This window comes from Homo sapiens, chromosome 12 (genome assembly GCF_000001405.40).
Source record: "Homo sapiens chromosome 12, GRCh38.p14 Primary Assembly".
Classification (NCBI taxonomy): domain Eukaryota; kingdom Metazoa; phylum Chordata; class Mammalia; order Primates; family Hominidae; genus Homo; species Homo sapiens.
Window position 1 is genome coordinate 123694397 of NC_000012.12, and position 16521 is coordinate 123710917.

At 45.0% G+C, this 16521-nt stretch overlaps 1 protein-coding gene across 5 annotated transcripts in view, besides 1 other annotated feature; it reads left to right on the plus strand.

The window, feature by feature from the left end:
* The window catches only part of TCTN2 (tectonic family member 2), a 37287-nt gene extending 23284 nt beyond the window's left edge, over positions 1 to 14003 (plus strand). For 3 of the 5 annotated variants that reach the window (NM_024809.5, NM_001143850.3, XM_047429553.1), the window contains 9 exons: positions 446 to 580; positions 824 to 901; positions 2019 to 2099; positions 2691 to 2802; positions 5308 to 5414; positions 10136 to 10292; positions 12330 to 12455; positions 12589 to 12677; positions 13208 to 14003. In NM_024809.5, the coding sequence (NP_079085.2) occupies positions 446 to 580; positions 824 to 901; positions 2019 to 2099; positions 2691 to 2802; positions 5308 to 5414; positions 10136 to 10292; positions 12330 to 12455; positions 12589 to 12677; positions 13208 to 13317 (995 nt within the window). In that variant the 3' untranslated portion in view covers positions 13318 to 14003. The remainder of the gene's footprint in view (positions 1 to 445; positions 581 to 823; positions 902 to 2018; positions 2100 to 2690; positions 2803 to 5307; positions 5415 to 10135; positions 10293 to 12329; positions 12456 to 12588; positions 12678 to 13207) is intronic. The other 2 variants (NM_001410989.1, XM_017019974.2) reach the window with 1 other exon arrangement.
* Positions 5213 to 5388: a silencer, noted in NCBI's record as "fragment chr12:124184156-124184331 (GRCh37/hg19 assembly coordinates)". NCBI's record gives its function as "represses an EF-1alpha promoter that drives an FKBP-Casp9 reporter gene in an ReSE screen in phorbol 12-myristate 13-acetate-treated (for megakaryocytic differentiation) K562 erythroleukemia cells {active_cell/tissue: K562(+PMA)}" and the evidence as "EXISTENCE:reporter gene assay evidence [ECO:0000049][PMID:32094911]".

A 16521-nucleotide genomic window follows, 5' to 3' on the forward strand; every position in this document is an offset into this window, starting at 1 on the left:
GGGTGTCTCTTTCTGATGTGTTGTACTTCTCAAATTTATTCATTGGCTCATCAAATGTTAGTGGAGTTCCTACGCCGTAGTAGGGAACTAGATAGCGGGCCCCTGCCCTGGCGGAACTGACCCTCTGGTCTTTCATCTCACAAACATTTTACCAAGTGCATGCTCCATGGCAAGCTATGAGCCAGGTGCTGGAGATATAGAAATGAAAGGAACAGATCTCATTCTGGGTACTGTGATGGCATAGAGGAGGCAGCTAATGCTGACTTGGTGGGACCAGGGCAGGCTTCCTCAAGGAAGCAGTGACCGTGCCATGTTAGGGAGCTGGAGATAGGGAGGGCAGGGGCAGGGCACTTGGGGAAGGCCACGCAAGCAGAGAGAACCTCCCAGTAACAGAGTCAGGCTCAAAGAGGGTCTTTAATTTATGAACATATTCTTGTATTTGCAGAAACTCCTTTAAATAACGGATCAACCCCTAGAATTGTGAATGTGGAAGAACATTATATTTTCAAATGGAATAATAATACCATCAGTGAAATAAATGTTAAAATTTTTAGGGCAGAGATTAATGCCCACCAGAAAGGTAACTTTGATGAGGGTAGCAAGCATGCTTTCACTGAAAAGTATTTTTTTTTCCTCTTTTCAAGATTCTCATAATTATAACCCATAAAACTAAGTTGGACTTGTTTCTTATGTGCATTTATGATTTAATTAACGAGAGTACACTTTGTATGACAAAATGCAATTTTAAGGTAAACACTATGGAGAATAATTTCTTTTCCTAGTGAAATGGTGCACATTATATTTTATTTTGTTTTATTTCTAGGGATAATGACACAGAGATTTGTAGTAAAATTTTTAAGCTATAATAGTGGTAATGAAGAAGAATTATCTGGAAATCCAGGTAAGATGAGTATATGCCAGTCATTGATCTTACAAACATACTTTAGTTCAACACTCCCAGCCATCAGGATGGTTATAAGTAACTCTCTCCAATTTAGTTTCTGACTCTGACCTTTTTCTTTATTTTCTCTTTTTCTTTTTTTGAGACGGAGTCTTGCTCTGTTGCCTAGTCTGGAGTGCAGTGGCGCAATCTCGGCTCACTGCAACCTGCACCTCCTGGGTTCAAGAGATTTTCTTGCCTCAGCCTCCTGAGTAGCTGGGATTACAGGTGCACACCACCATGCCTGGCTTTTTTTTTTTTTTTTTAATCACACAACACAGGAAGTTTTATTCATCTGCTACTTCTCCAAAGAGAGGCTTGCAGGGTTGCTCACTTTAATATAATTTTTATATTTTTAGTAGAGATAGGCTGTTGTTCACCGTGTTGGCCAGGCTGGTCTTGAATTCCTGACCTCAAGTGATCCCCTGGCCTTAGCCTCCCAAAGTGTTGTGATTACAGGCATGAGCCACTGCCCCAGCCTCTTTATTCTCTGTTGTGGCACTGTATTCATTTTTTTTTTTTTTGAGACGGAGTTTAACTCTTGTCACCCAGGCTGGAGTGCAATGGCACGATTTGGGCTCACTGCAACCTCCACCTTCCAGGTTCAAGCAATTCTCCTGCCTCAGCCTCCCAAGTAGCTGGGATTACAGGTGCCCACCAACACCCTCAGCAAATTTTTGTACTTTTAGTAGAGATGAGGTTTTGCCATATTGGCCATACTGGTCTCGAACTCCTGACCTCAGGTGATCCACCCACCTCGGCCTCCCAAAGTGCTAGGATTACAGGCGTGAGCCACTACGCCTGGCCGACATGGTATTCTTTTTGTGATAACAATGTATTTTTTTTTTTTACATAGTCTGTTGTACATAGTAACAAGTTGCTGTAAATGTGAAGCATTCTTTCTCTTTAGCTACTGTTTTTTTTGAGACCCGAAGTTGCCATCTTTCTCTCAAGGGTATTTTCGAAAGCTTCGCCTATGTGTTTTCTTTCCTTGTGCATGACTCTTGTATTATTTGCAGAGTTAGGGCTTGCTATGCTGGAGGAAACAGGCTCACGTTCCTTTGTTGTGTTTGTCTAGGTTACCAACTTGGCAAGCCTGTCCGAGCTCTAAATATCAACAGGATGAATAATGTCACGACTTTACATCTTTGGCAATCGGGTAATCCGGTTTGGTCATTATGATTAGCCCTTTGGCAAATTGGTGTTAGAAGTATTACCATATTTTGAATCTAATCAAGCAATCAATTATTTTAAAGCCTAGTTGGTTTATTTAGCAGAGAGGTACATGCTGCTGAATAACAGTGATGATGGTTTTTCCTGCTTCTACAGCTTTTTAAAAAGGAATGCTAACATTGTTTGCACCTGAAGTGCTGGTTGCTAGTAGAAAAGATTGAAATATGAGATTGGCTTGAGAGTCCCATGTTATTGTTGCCTGTAGCCCAGGATGGTGCTAATTGGAGACATGAAAATAACTTCGTTCTGAACTGCAGGAAATCTGTGCTTCAGTGGTAATTACGCACACCTGCCAGAGGCAGTGTCACTTCTGAAGAAACCACCGCTCAGGATCTGAGAAGTCTGATAAAGGCACCTTTGTTCAGCTTTGAAAGGATTAGACTAACAGTGATCTCAGTTTTTGAAAACTGGCAACTTTATTTCTACTTACTGTTTTCTGTTTTTCACGGAAAACTGAAGTTAATCTTTACTTTTGTTTAGCAAAAAGTAGCAAGAGGATAATCTTTTTCTTTTATAGCTGGAAGGGGTCTGTGTACATCAGCAACTTTCAAACCCATTTTATTTGGAGAAAATGTACTCTCTGGATGCCTGTTAGAAGTCGGGATTAATGAAAATTGTACTCAGCTCAGGTGAGTGTTTCATTGATGAATATATCGGCAATGTGAATGGTTTGCCTAGAATTAATTCACTACATGAATATCAAAGACAGCATGAATATGAAAAATTAGAGTCAATTAAAATGTGTAAAAGTGATAATAAATACAGACATGTAATACAATTTAGAGTTGATTCAAACATCAATATGAGGGAAAATAAACTTTTTCTTGGGACTAAAGCCAGTTCATCCACATTTAAGCAAATTTCATCCACATTTAAACAAATGTCTCTGCCAAAGTTTGTTCAGCTCATTGGAACCTTTTTTGTTGTTGTTGTGTGGTTTTTTTTGTTGAGATGAAGTCTCACTTTGTCACCTAGGCTGGAGTGCAGTGGTGCGATCTCGGCTCATTGCAGCTTCTGCCTCTCCGGTTCAAGCAATTCTCCTGCCTTAGCCTCCCTAGCAGCTGGGATTACAGGCATGCACCACCACGCCTGCTGATTTTTTTTGTATTTTTAGTAGAGATGGGGTTTCACAATGTTGGTCTCAAACTCCTAACCTCAAGTGACCTTGCCCACCTTGGCCTCCCAAAGTGCTGGGATTATAGGCGTAAGCCACCGCGCCTGGCCTCATTGGAACCTTATACTCCTAGAGCTATGAAAAAGGCCAGAGCAAAGTGTAACTGGGGTGATTAACTTTTTTTTTTTTTTTTTTGAGACAGGGTCTCACTGTGTTTCCCAGGCTCGGGTGCAGTGGTGCAATCATGGCTTACTGCAGCCCCAACCTCCCCAGGCTCAGGTGGTCCTCCACCTGCCTTGGCTTCCTAAAGTGCTGGGATTACAGGCATGAGTCACTCTGCTGGCCTATGTTCTGTTTTTGTTTTTGTTTTTGTTTTGAGACAGAGTTTCACTCTTGTTGCCCAGGCTGGAGTGCAATGGCATAATCTCAGCTCACTGCAGCCTCTGCCTCCCAGGTTCAAGTGATTCTCCTGCCTCAGCCTCCTGAGTAGCTGGGATTACAGGCATGTGCCACCTCACCTGGCTAATTTTGTATTTTTAGTAGAGATGGGGTTTCTCCATGTTAGTCAGGCTGGTCTTGAACTCCTGACCTCAGGTGATCTGCCCTCCTCAGCCTCCTAAAGTGCTGGGATTACAGGTGTGAGCCACTGTGCCCAGCCTTGTTTTTTGTTTTTTTGTTTTTGTTTTTTTTTTTGACAGTAGCCATCCTAATAGATACTAAGTGGTATCTCATTGTGGTTTTGATTGCATGCGTTCTTTTTGGCTTGTTTTTTGAGACAAGGTCTCACTCCATCACCCAGACTGGAGCGCAGTGGTGTGATCACGGCTCGTTGCAGCCTGACCCTCTTGAGCTCAGGTGATCCTCCCACTTCACCCTCCCGAGTATCTTGGAGTACAGGTGTGTGCCTGGCTGATTTTTCGTATTTTTTGTAGAGATGGGGTTTCACCGTGTTGCTCAGGCTGCTCTCAAACTGCTGGGCTCAAACGATCCTCCTGCCTTGGCCTCCCAAAGTGCTGGGGTTACAAGCATGAACCATTATGCCCGGCCTGCATGCACTCTTACACACGTTTTATCTGTTACATATCCCAAGATGTGTAGTTCTTTGGGAAGCAGGAAGAAATGGGGGTAACATTGAGAAGTTAAGGAAAACTGGTATAAATTATTGGCAGCAGCTCCTGATTATAGGTTTTGAGGCCTGAGTCCATGGGCAGAGTCCCTCTCCTGCAGTTCATGAGATTTGTACCCTCCAGTGACAGTACTGGGAAGGAGGGAATGCTACGTTCCAACTCTTAGTCTTCACTTAATTTTATGACTCAAAATTCCAGCTAGATATATAGGTTACTTTTACTGTTGGATCACTCTGGCCCACGAATGTATCCTGCTAACTTGATGTGTGCTCTAACTACCTCCTAAGTTTGGTGACAGTCGGCAGAGTTTGTGAACCATGTGATTCCCAACTTAAGTTACTAACATTTTTTTTTTTTTTTTGAGACAGGATCTTGCTCTGTCACCCAGGCTGGAGTGCAGTGGTACGATCTCAGCTCACTGTAGCCTTAACCCCACCAGGCTTATGCGCTCCTCCCACCTCAGCCTCCCAAGTAGTTGGAACTATAGGTGCATACCACCATGCCTGGCTAATTTTTGTATTTTTTGTAGAGGCAGGGTTTTGCCCTGTTGCCCAGGCTGGTCTTGAACTCCTGAGCTCAAGCAATCCTCCCACCTCAGCCTCCCAAAGGGTTGGGATTACAGGTGTGAGCCACTGCACCCGGCCAAGTTACTAACATTTTAAGTCTAAAGTAAAAGATTGCTTCTGTATGTTCTCCCCCAGGTGTGTGGGTCCATCCTGGGAAGGCCATCAGACACACCTAGTCCATGGGTGACACCCAGCCAGTTTTTAATGCCAGTTCCTCTGGCAGTTTTTAATTTAGGCACTCGGAAGTGAAACCCGGACATTCACTGGAAATGACTTTAGGACAAGACCTGCTGGCCATGAGCTGAGAAATGTCTTACTCTCTTGCAGGGAGAATGCTGTTGAAAGACTTGATTCATTAATACAAGCGACTCACGTTGCAATGAGAGGCAACTCCGATTACGCTGATCTTAGTGATGGCTGGCTCGAAATAATACGTAAGTCAAACCCGGGTACAATAAAGCCTGTAACTTGGTTGCTGTGACTACCAACTGTAGTCGCAGCATTAGAGCCCAACCCAGTAGGTCATCTTCCTGAGGCTTGACTGCGGCTTAACTGGACGTTTGCCCAGGGGTTAGATCTCCAGGCAGGAAACTTGGCATGTCTTTTTCTTCTTATTCACAATGACTTTTTTGATTTTCTGTTTTTGTTTTTTTGAGACAGGGTTTCATTCTGTCACCCAGGCTGGAGTGCAGTGGTGCAATCACAGCTCATTGCCTCCTCATCCTCCCAGGCTCAAGGGATCCTCCCGCCTCAGCCTTCCAAGTAGCTGGAACCACAGGTGTGCGCCACCACATCTGGCTAATTTTTTTATTATTTGTAGAAATGGGTTTCGCCATGTTGCCCAGGCTGGTCATTAACTCCTGGGCTTAAGTGATCTGCCCACCCCAACCTCTTAAACCCCAACCATGTTGGGATTACAGGCATGAGCCATTGCGCCTGGCCAACAACAGTCTTTGTGAAAGAAAGTCTAGGCTGGGAGCAGTGGCTCACACTTATAATCCCAGCACTTTGGGAGGTCAATGCAAGAGGATTGCTTGAGGCCAGTTTTTTTGTTTGTTTGGTTGGTTTTTTTTGAGACGGAGTCTTGCTCTTGTCACCCATGCTGGAGTGCAATGGCACAATCTCGGCTCACTGCAACCTCTGCCTCCTAGGTTCAGGTGATTCTCCTGCCTTAGCCTCCCAAGTAGCTGGGATTACAGGCGCCCACCACCACCTGGCTAATTTTTGTATTTTTTAAATAGAGACGGGGTTTCACCATGTTGGCCAGGCTGGTCTCGAACTCCTGACCCCGTGATCCACCTGCCTCGGCCTCCCAAAGTGCTGGGATTATAGGCGTTAGCCACCGTGCCAGGCCGAGGCCAGGAGTTTAAGACCAGCCTGGGCAACATAGTGAGACCTTGTCTCTATGAAAAATTTAAAAAATTAGTCGAATGTGGTGGCATGTCCCTGCAGTCCCAGCTACTTGGGATGCTGAGGAAAGAGGATCGCTGGAGCCTAGGAGTTTGAGGCTACAGTGAGCTCTGATTACACCATCACACTCCAACCTGGATGACAGAGCAAGATCCTGACTCTAAAAATAAAACAAAATAAAATAAAATACATTAAAACAAAGTCCAAGCAAGGTTTGAAGATTGTTAGTGCACTTCAGTTTGCATTGCTGTTTTTGATTGCCAGGAATACAGGCATTTGAGAATTGACTTTGTAATTTATAAAGGTAATTTTGTTAACTTAAAAGAAAATAAAGTGATTGAAAATATTGTGATAGAAGCCAGACACAAAAGACCACATATTGTATGACTCAATTTATATGCAATGTCCAGAATGGGCAATGTATAGAGACAGCAGATTAGTGGATGCCGGAGGTGGAGGAGTTGGGAGGAAATGGGGAGAGACTGCCGTGGGTAAAGGATTTCTTCGCAGAGTGATAAAATGTTCTAAAATAGAATCTGCTGATAGTCACAGCTTTGTGACTATACCAGAAACCATCGAATTGCACACTTTAAGTAGGTGGATTGTATAGTATGTGAATTATATCTCAATAAAGCTGTCAGGAAAGAAAGTAATTAAGGTGCAACAGATCGGCTGGGCACGGTGGCTCATATCTGTAATCCCAGCACTTTGGGAGGCCGAGGCGGGTGGATCACGAGGTCAGGAGATCGAGAGCATCCTGCCTAACACAGGTGAAACCCCGTCTCTACTAAAAATAAAAAAAAAAAATTAGCCGGGCGTGGTGGTGGGCGCCTGTAGTCCCAGCTACTCGGGAGGCTGAGGCAGGAGAATGGTAGGAACCCGGGAGGCGGAGCTTGCTGTGAGCCGAGATTGCGCCACTGCACTCCAGCCTGGGCGACAGAGCAAGACTCCGTCTCACAAAAAAAAAAAAAGGGTGCAACAGATCTAATAATAGCAGGGATCATGGGGGCCAGATAGAAAGACTTGACAGCTCAGTGCCTCTGGCCAAAGGTATTTGCAGTGTTGAATTGGCAAGTAGCTCGTACACAAAGGGAAAAAGATATACCACATGTACATGGAATAAAGGTAAACCAGACTTTAAAGCTTCTTCATCAGGCCTGATTTCACCTCTGAATCCAAAATATCCTTTGAGTCATGGAGATCCAGCTCATCGGGTTATGTTGGAGAGGCCTAAGGTCACAGTGAGTTTTGGCAGAGCTAGAATGAAAACCTGGGGTTCCAACCTCTTTCCTCTGTTCCCTGGTAGCAAGTTAGGTAACTTCCCGGTTTCTTGGGGAGCCTTGAGTCTGTAAATACTTTGAATGGAAAGCTTTTTTTATTGAGCTAATTAATGGAATTGCCTTTTGGGACCAGAAAGAGCCCAATGAGTGTGCGCATCTGCTTTGCCCCTGCCCAGCTCTCCCTGCAGATGCTGCTCTGCCCCTCTCCTCTGCCTGGTGGGTAGGGATCAGCCCTCTGGATCCTGTCCCTACCCTTTCCATCTCCTCTGAGGTCAGCTAGGCTCAGTAGGCTGGAATTCACACAACGGCCCATACAGACACACACCTGTATTGTGCCTACTCCTTGTGATTGGGGTCATGGTGATGAGGACCCTCCCTTCCCCCTCTTGGTCATGGATAATGTGATATGTCTGTGAGCTTGAGGTGCCCCAGACCACTCTCTGACTTGGGGAGGGAGTCCTGTTGGACTCCACCCCCACGGGGCACTCAGGCTGCTGTTTGCTCATCTAGCTGGTGCTCAAGGCACTGGGCCCAGACCTAGATCCTCATTTGCAAACGGAACCCAGAGGTCGAGCTTGTCAAGCCCTGGGCTCTGCCACCCAGGCCAGCTAGATAGGCTGTGGAATGACCCTGAGGGCTGGAGAAAAGTCAGCAGTTGGGAAATAAACGGTAGGGAAAATGTCCAGACGGAGAACCCAGGTTGATGAGGTACGAAATCAGTGTGGTGATGACATTTTGTTGCCTTCAAGGTGGAAGGGGTTAGCTTTTATTTCATGTCTGAGCCAAAAAGCAACCTTGATCCTGGTTAATAAGCAGAAGAGAAGTGGTGTTGACACATGTATAAGGAAATTAGACATAAAACAGTGTTACTGACCTTCGGAATCCCTGAAGGAGCAAAGAACCCCCTTCAGAGGAGCCATAGAACCTACCCTACTTCCTCCAATTGACCTTGCTGGGTTTTCTCCAAGACGAATGCAAATTCATTTCTCATTCAATTTCATTCTCTTCCAATTGTATTAATACTATGGTAACACATTAGGAAATTACTTACCTATCTAATACATACTAATTAAAGTCGTTAGTGTGGATTTTGTTTTATTATTATTTTTTTTTCAATTATTATCATTATTTTTTTTTTGAGATGGAGTCTCACTTTGTTGCTGGAGTGCAGTGGCATGATCTCGGCTCACTGCAACCTCCACCTCCCAGGTTTCAAGTGATTCTCCTGCCTCAGCCTCCCAAGTAGCTGGGATTACAGGTGTGCGCCACCATACCTGGCCAATTTTTGTATTTTTAGTAGAGACAGGGTTTCACCATGTTGGCCAGGCTGGTCTCGAACTCCTGACCTCAGGTCATCCACCCACCTCAGCCTCCCAAAGTGTTGGGATTACAGGCGTGAGCCACCACGCCCGACTGATTTTTATTTTTATTTTTTGAGATGAGGTTCTCACTTTTGTCCAGGCTGGAATGTAGTGGTGCCATGCCATCACGGCTTACTGCAGCCTTGACTTCCCAGGCTGAAGCAATCCTCTCACCTCAGCCTTCTGGGTAGCTGGTGTGTGCTACAGGTGTGTGCCACCATGACTGGCTATTTTATTTTTCTCGAGGAGACAGGGTTTTGCTATGTTGCCCAGGCTGGTCTCAAACTCCTGGGCTCAAGCAGTGCTTCTACCTTGACCTCCCAAAGTGCTAGGATTATAGGCATGAGCCACTGTGCCTGGCCTAAAGTTGTTAGTATGGATTTTAAATGTCTTACACAGCTTTTACTAGAACTGTGACTGCATGGAATAACGATGGCATTTCACTGCAATTATATATGTTTCTGTTAAAAGGCTGGGTAGATTTCAGTGGGAGCTTGGAAACTGAATCATGATTTATGGCTTTAATATGTGGGTCAGGGCTTTTAAGTTCCAGTGACTGGCTAACATACAAGGAAACTTTTTTTTTTTTTTTTTTTTTGAGACAGAGTCTCCCTCTGTCGCCAGGCTGCAGTGCAGTGGTGTGATCTTGGCTCACGGCAAGCTCCGCCTCCCAGGTTCACGCCATTCTCCTGCCTCAGCCTCCCAAGTAACTGGGACTACAGGCGAGCACCACCACGCCCAGCTAATTTTTATACTTTTAGTAGAGATGGGGTTTCACCATGTTGGCCAGAATGGTCTCGATCTCTTGACCTCGTGATCTGCCCGCCTCAGCCTCCCAAAGTGCTGGGATTACGGCGTTAGCCACCGCACCCGGCCCATACAAGGAAACATTTTAAACACAATTTTTATTAGTGCCATCCTATGCCTTGTAGACTTTAAGGGATAACACAGTTATGGAGTGACAAGTAACTAGAGCCTGTAAGAGACTAAAGCCTCATTAATGTGATGCCTGCCTGATATTATTCCCCATTTTGGTTATTACGACATTGTAGGAAAACTTATCAAATTATTCTTTGAAAAGTGTATAACTTAACATTTCTATAGGTGTAGATGCCCCTGATCCAGGTGCAGACCCGCTGGCTAGCAGTGTGAACGGCATGTGCCTGGATATTCCTGCTCACCTGAGCATCCGCATCCTCATCTCGGATGCTGGCGCGGTGGAAGGGATTACTCAGCAGGAGATACTCGGTGTAGAGACAAGGTATGATCACATCTTGGATCACCGTAGTTTAGAGAGAGTCAGGAAAGTTGAGAGCATCCCAAACAATAGGGAAATGTTTATTTAGAAACTGATTGTTTATTTACAACTTGCAATTATTAGCAAGATGTTTATATGCACATATGGAATATGTACGAACTATGTGTATAATGGAGACTTATTCTCACAAGTATTTATAAAGCCATATGTAAGAGAGTCTGCAAGTTATTTTAGGGAGTACAAAGATGAATAAAGGGCCCCTTAGTACTAAGTATATTTTGAAATCCATGGATGTAACTGATAATCTGATCAGAGAATATTGTCTGTGGTTAGAGACTTTGGCAGCAGATAGGTTCAAATCATGGCTGTCCTACTTAGGAGCTGTGTGACACTGGCCAATTACTTAACCTTTCTGAGCTGTAGTTTCCTCCTCTGTAATATGGTGATAATACCTTTATGTATCAAGCCTCCATCAGTTTTTTTTTTTTTTTTTTTTGAGACAGAGTCTTGCTCCGTCTCCAGGCTGGAGTGCAGTGGCAATATCTTGACTCACTGCAACCTCCAACTCTCTAGTTCAAGCGATTCTCCTGCTTCAGCCTCCCGAGTAGCTGGGATTACAGGCACGTGCCACCATGTCCAGCTAATTTTTGTATTTTTAGTAAAGACAGGGTTTCACCCTGTTGGCCAGGATGGTCTCAATCTCCTGACCTCATGATCCGCCCGCCTCGGCCTCCCAAAGTGCTGGGATTACAGGCATGAGCCACCGCGCCCAGCCTGCCTCCATCGGTTTTAAGTGACAGGCGCCCAGTTCATACTGACTTAAGCAAAAAGGGGAGTTTATTGGTTCAAGTTCAGAGTAATCCACATACAGCTAGTTCATGGTTCATGGTTCCAGTGTGGTCAGGGATCTTTTTGTTTTCGTATCTCAGCTCCTCTTCCTTTGGGTTGGCTTCATTCTCAGGGAGGTTCTCCTCAAGAGATGGCAAAGATCAGCACCAGCAATCCAGGCTTATGTCACTGCAGCAAGTCCAGTGGGGAGAAAGCCCCTTTCCTCCTCTTTCCTTTCTTTCTTTCTTTTTTTTTTTTTTGAGACGGAGTTTTGCTCTTGTTGCCCAGGCTGGAGTGCAGTGGTGCCATCTTGGCTCACTGCAACCTCCACCAACCGGGTTCAAGCGATTCTCCTGCCTCAGCCTCCTAAGTAGCTGAGGTTACAAGCATGTGGCACCTCGCCTGGCTAATTTTGTATTTTTAGTAGAGATGGGGTTTCTCCATGTTGGTCAGGCTGGTCTTGAACTCCCAACCTGAGGTGATCTGCCTGCCTCAGCCTCCCAAAGTGCTGGGATTACAGGCATGAGTCACCGTGCCCGGCCCCTCCTCTTTCTCAAAATAGATCTGGGCAGACTTTTATTGGTTCAGTTTAGGTCATGTGCTCCTTTCTGAACCAATCCCTATGACTGGGGCAATGGACAGCTCTTATTGGCTAGGCTCAGGTGATGGGTGCACCTCTGGATTAGGGCCAATTCCTTCTGCTCCACTGAACTGGAAATGGAGAGTGGTGGCTCTGCAAGGGAAAATGGGAGTGCAGTTACCACCTCCGCAGTACTCTTCTGAGGATAACATGAGATGGTGTGTTGCAAGCAAGTTATCTCTGTGCCTCGAACGTGGAAAGCCCTCAATAAGTGGCTAGCTGCTGCTTTTATTATTATATTGTTTGAGAAAAACAGGTGATGAACAAAGGTACCTTTGATAGCACCTGTATACAATGCACTGGCTGGAGAGGAGTGAGACTGACAACAAGACTGGCAGATGTTGCTGGGCGACAGGCCCATGAGGGGTTATTAGGAGTTTCTCTTCTCTTTGGATCTGTCTGTGGAAATGGTCAAAGACCATGGACAAATACTGAGAAAAAACAGCCCAGGTAGAATGCGAAACTTCTTAGGAGAACCTCAGGTTATATTGTGATTGCATCCGTTACCTGCTGTTCTTGGTGGAATAGAACTGAATGGTGGCTATGCTGACCATGTGATCTTTCCCTCCTAGGTTCTCCTCAGTGAACTGGCAGTACCAGTGTGGGCTTACCTGTGAGCACAAGGCCGACCTTCTCCCTATCAGTGCATCCGTCCAGTTTATTAAAATTCCTGCACAGTTACCCCACCCCCTGACAAGGTACTCCAGTTGCTCACCTAGTTGACATTAGGAAGCAGAAAAATATATATTTGAAAATTGGAAGTTTATTCCTTTAATCAAGTTCTGATACTTCTCACTTGTAGTTTTTGTAACCCTCTAAAATGTTTTCTAGATTCCAGATCAATTATACAGAGTATGACTGCAACAGAAATGAGGTGTGTTGGCCGCAGCTTCTATATCCATGGACTCAGTATTATCAAGGTAGGGTGAAACAGATTTCTATGACCAATTATGTTATGTCAATTTAAAAAAATTTTTTAAATGATGTCTAAATGTTACAGAAAGCATAAAACATATAGAAACTTAAAAAAAAGTACGGATAATATTGCCACTTGGAAGTGATCACCATTACTGTTTTGGCTTAGTTTATTTCTACCTACACTGTTTTTTTTTTTAGAGAGTCTTGCTCTGACACCCTGGCTGGAGTGCAGTGGCACAATCTCAGCTCACTGCAACCATTGCCTCCTGGGTTCAGACAACTCTCGTGCCTCAGCCTTTGGAGTAGCTGGGATTACAGCACCAATATGCCTGGCTATTTTTGTATTTTTAGTAGAGACGGGGTTTCACTGTGCTGGCCAGGCTGGTCTCGAACTGGCCTCAAGTGATCCGCCCTCCTTGGCCTCCCAAAGTGTTAGGATTACAGGAGTGAGCCACCACACCCAGCCTATACCTACACTGTTATCAAAAGAGTTAAGAAATACTGCTGTTGAATTTTGTCCATTGTTTTTCAGGGGAGCTGCATTCTCAGTGTGTTGCTAAGGGCTTACTGTTGCTGTTGTTCCTCACATTGGCCTTGTTCCTCAGCAACCCCTGGACCAGAATATGCAAAGCCTATAGTTAGACAACCACCTGGCTTTTATTTTTTTGAGATGGAGTTTTGCTCTTGTTGCCCAGGCTGAAGTGATCTCGGCTCACCACAACCTCCTCCTCTTGGGTTCAAGCGATTCTCCTGCCTCAGCCTCCGGAGAACTGGGATTACAGGCATGCACCACCACGCCCGGCTAATTTTGTATTTTTAGTAGAGACAGGGTTCCACCGTATTGGCCAGGCTGCTCTCGAACTCCTGACCTCATGATCCGCCCATCTTGGCCTCCCAAAGTGCTGAGATTACAGGCATGAGCCACCGCACCCGGCCTTTTTTTTTTTTTTTTTTTTTTTGAGGCGGGGTCTCTGTCACCCAGGCTGGAGTGCAGTGCACAATCTCGGCTCACTGCAATCTCTGCCTCCCAAGCAATCCTCCCACCTCAGCCTCTGGTGTAGCTGGGACCACAGATGCTCCACCATGCCTGGCTGTATTTTTGGTAAAGACGGGGTTTCGCCTTGTTGCCCAGGGTGGTCTGTAACTCCTGAGCTCAGATGATCTGCCCACCTCGGCCTCCCAAAGTGCTGGGATCACAGACGTGAGCCACTGCGTCCGGTCCATCTGACTTCTCAAAGACTTTAGACCTTGACTTCAGTGATTTGTTGTAGTCTTGTATGCTTCTCTATAAAATTTTAATAAATGAAATGTCTTATTTTTGTAGAAAATTTTTATTAAGTGCCCTGTGACTTTAATTCATATATGTAGCTATCCAATGCAGAATGAATATTCTCATCGCTGGCCTGAACTGAGTAAAATGCATGAGAAGAACTCAAAAATGTTAGAAATTTTAGCTTATCACAAATTAGTTAAAGTCATAGGAGTTTTATTTATACCAGAGAGAATCAGTCTTTTCTTTAGTTTTTAATACATTCGTGTTGATTGATGTTTCCCATATTCCGTAGAAAGGATTAAGAAATCCTTAAAAATGCATGTAATACAAAAACACAAAATCACTGATGGGGAAAGATATGGGGGCTGCGGGAGGAAAATAATAAGAGAAAAGTAAAACAAAACCAGGGGCACATGTAAGCCCTAAAATACATGCCAGAGGTTGCCTTTAGCAGAAGCAGGCCCCTAATTCATTATTTATTTATTTGTTTTTTGGAGACAGGTTCTCCCTCTGTTGCCCAGGCTGGAGTGCAGTGGCACGATTATAGCTCACTGTAAACTCAGACACCTGGGATCAAGCGATTCTCCCCCAAGTAGCTGGGACTACAGGTGGCACACAGCTACCACGCCTGGCTATTTTTTTTTTTTTTTTTTTTTTTTTTTTTTTTAGTAGATGGGGGTCTCGCTATGTTGCCCAGCCTGGTCTCAAACTCCTGGCTTTAGCGATCCTACCACCTAAGCCTCCCAAAGTGCTGGGATTACCAGCAGGAGCCACTATGCCCAACCAAGACCCCAGTTTACAAAAACCCAAGTATGATTAGCTATAGGAATTATGAAATCTATTCATTAATACAGGAATTATGAAATCTATTCATTAAAAATTAACTGGTTATCAATGAAGGACAGTTTTTCCTAGCTGAGTCTTGACAAATTTCTCCCATGGGCCGTCACATGGGAACAGTCAACCCCACTCAGTGGGGAGAATGGATTTTTTTTTTTTTTTTTTTTTTGAGACTCGGTCTTACTCTGTTACCCAGGCTGGAGAGCTGGAGAGCAGTGGCACAATTACGGCTCACTGCAGCCTCGACCTCCTGAGCTCAAGTGATCCTCCCACCTTAGCCTCCCAAGTAGCTGGGACCACAGGCTTGTACCTGGCTAGTTTTTGTATTTTTTTTTTTTGTAGAGAAGGGGGTCTCCCTATGTTACCCAGGCTGGTCTCGAACTCTTAGGCTCAAGTGATCTACCTGCCTTAGCCTCCCAAAGTGCTGGGATTATAGGTATGAGCTGCTGTGCCCAGCCCTGGAATAGATGTTTTTAGCCACGGTCCTACAGTGGCCACATGGCACATCACCTGTAAGTTTTCTTTGTGTGCCAGGTAACTTAGTTGTTTCAGATGGATTTTCTATGTTATTTAAGCCTAATTTTGAAAAATAATTATTTTCCCTTTTATACTTTTTGATCGAATTCCTAGTGCCTGCTGATACCCAGCACCACATAAAATGTGCTGTTTCATCTTCGCTGCAGAGTTCCTGCCCAGGGGCAATTTCAAATTTTCCTCCAGTCTTAAGTCCATTTTCTTTTTTCTTTTTTTTTTTGAGACGGAGTCTTGCTCTATTGCCCAGGCTGGAGAGCAGTGGCGTGATCTTTGCTCACTGCAAGCTCCGCCTCCCGAGTTCACGCCATTCTCCTGCCTCAGCCTCCTGAGTAGCTGGGACTACAGGCACCCACCACCATGCCCAGCTAATTTTTCGTATTTTTAGTAGAGACGGAGTTTCACTGTGTTAGCCAGGATGGTCTCGATCTCCTGACCTCGTGATCCACCCGCCTCGGCCTCCCAAAGTGCTGGGATTACAGGCATGAGCCACTGCGCCCGGCCTGAGTCCACTTTCAAATAGGGGGATGAGCTAGTCACTGCAGAGGTCCTAAGTTTCTGCATGATGGAAATACCGTGAATTTCAGCATCTGTACTGTGGTGGTGTTGGGCCTTCACCCGACCCCTCTAGGGCTGACTCAGGAATCTGGGTCAGTACTGGACTGACGGAGCTGGGGTCTGAGTCAATTATTGTCTGAACTTCAGCCTTTGAATTCACCTTCACAGTTCTTACTGTATCTTTTTGTTGTTGTTGTTTCTTTTGAAACAGAGTGTCACTCTGTTGCCCAGGCTAGAGTCCAGGGATGCCATTTCAGCTCACTGCAAGCTCCACCTCCCAGGTTCAAGCGATTCTCTTGCCTCAGCCTCCCGAGTAGCTGGGACTACAGGTGCCCACCACCACGCCTAGCTAATTTTTATATTTTTTTAGTAGAGACGGGGTTTTGCCATGTTGGCCAGGCTGGTCTCAAACTCCTGACCTCAAGTGATCCACCTGCCTCAGCCTCCCAAAGTGCAGGGATTACAGGAGTGAGCCAGGGCACCCAGCCTAGTGTAACTAGCTTTGGATTTCAGGTATTTATGGAAAATAAATTTAAAACTTCCAAATGACAGGTAATTTAGCTTGATTTTGTGGGCTTTGTGAGGACGCCTTTTGTACTTAAAAGAAGGAAAAAACTCAGTTTGGCAGAATGGGGTCTGGAGTG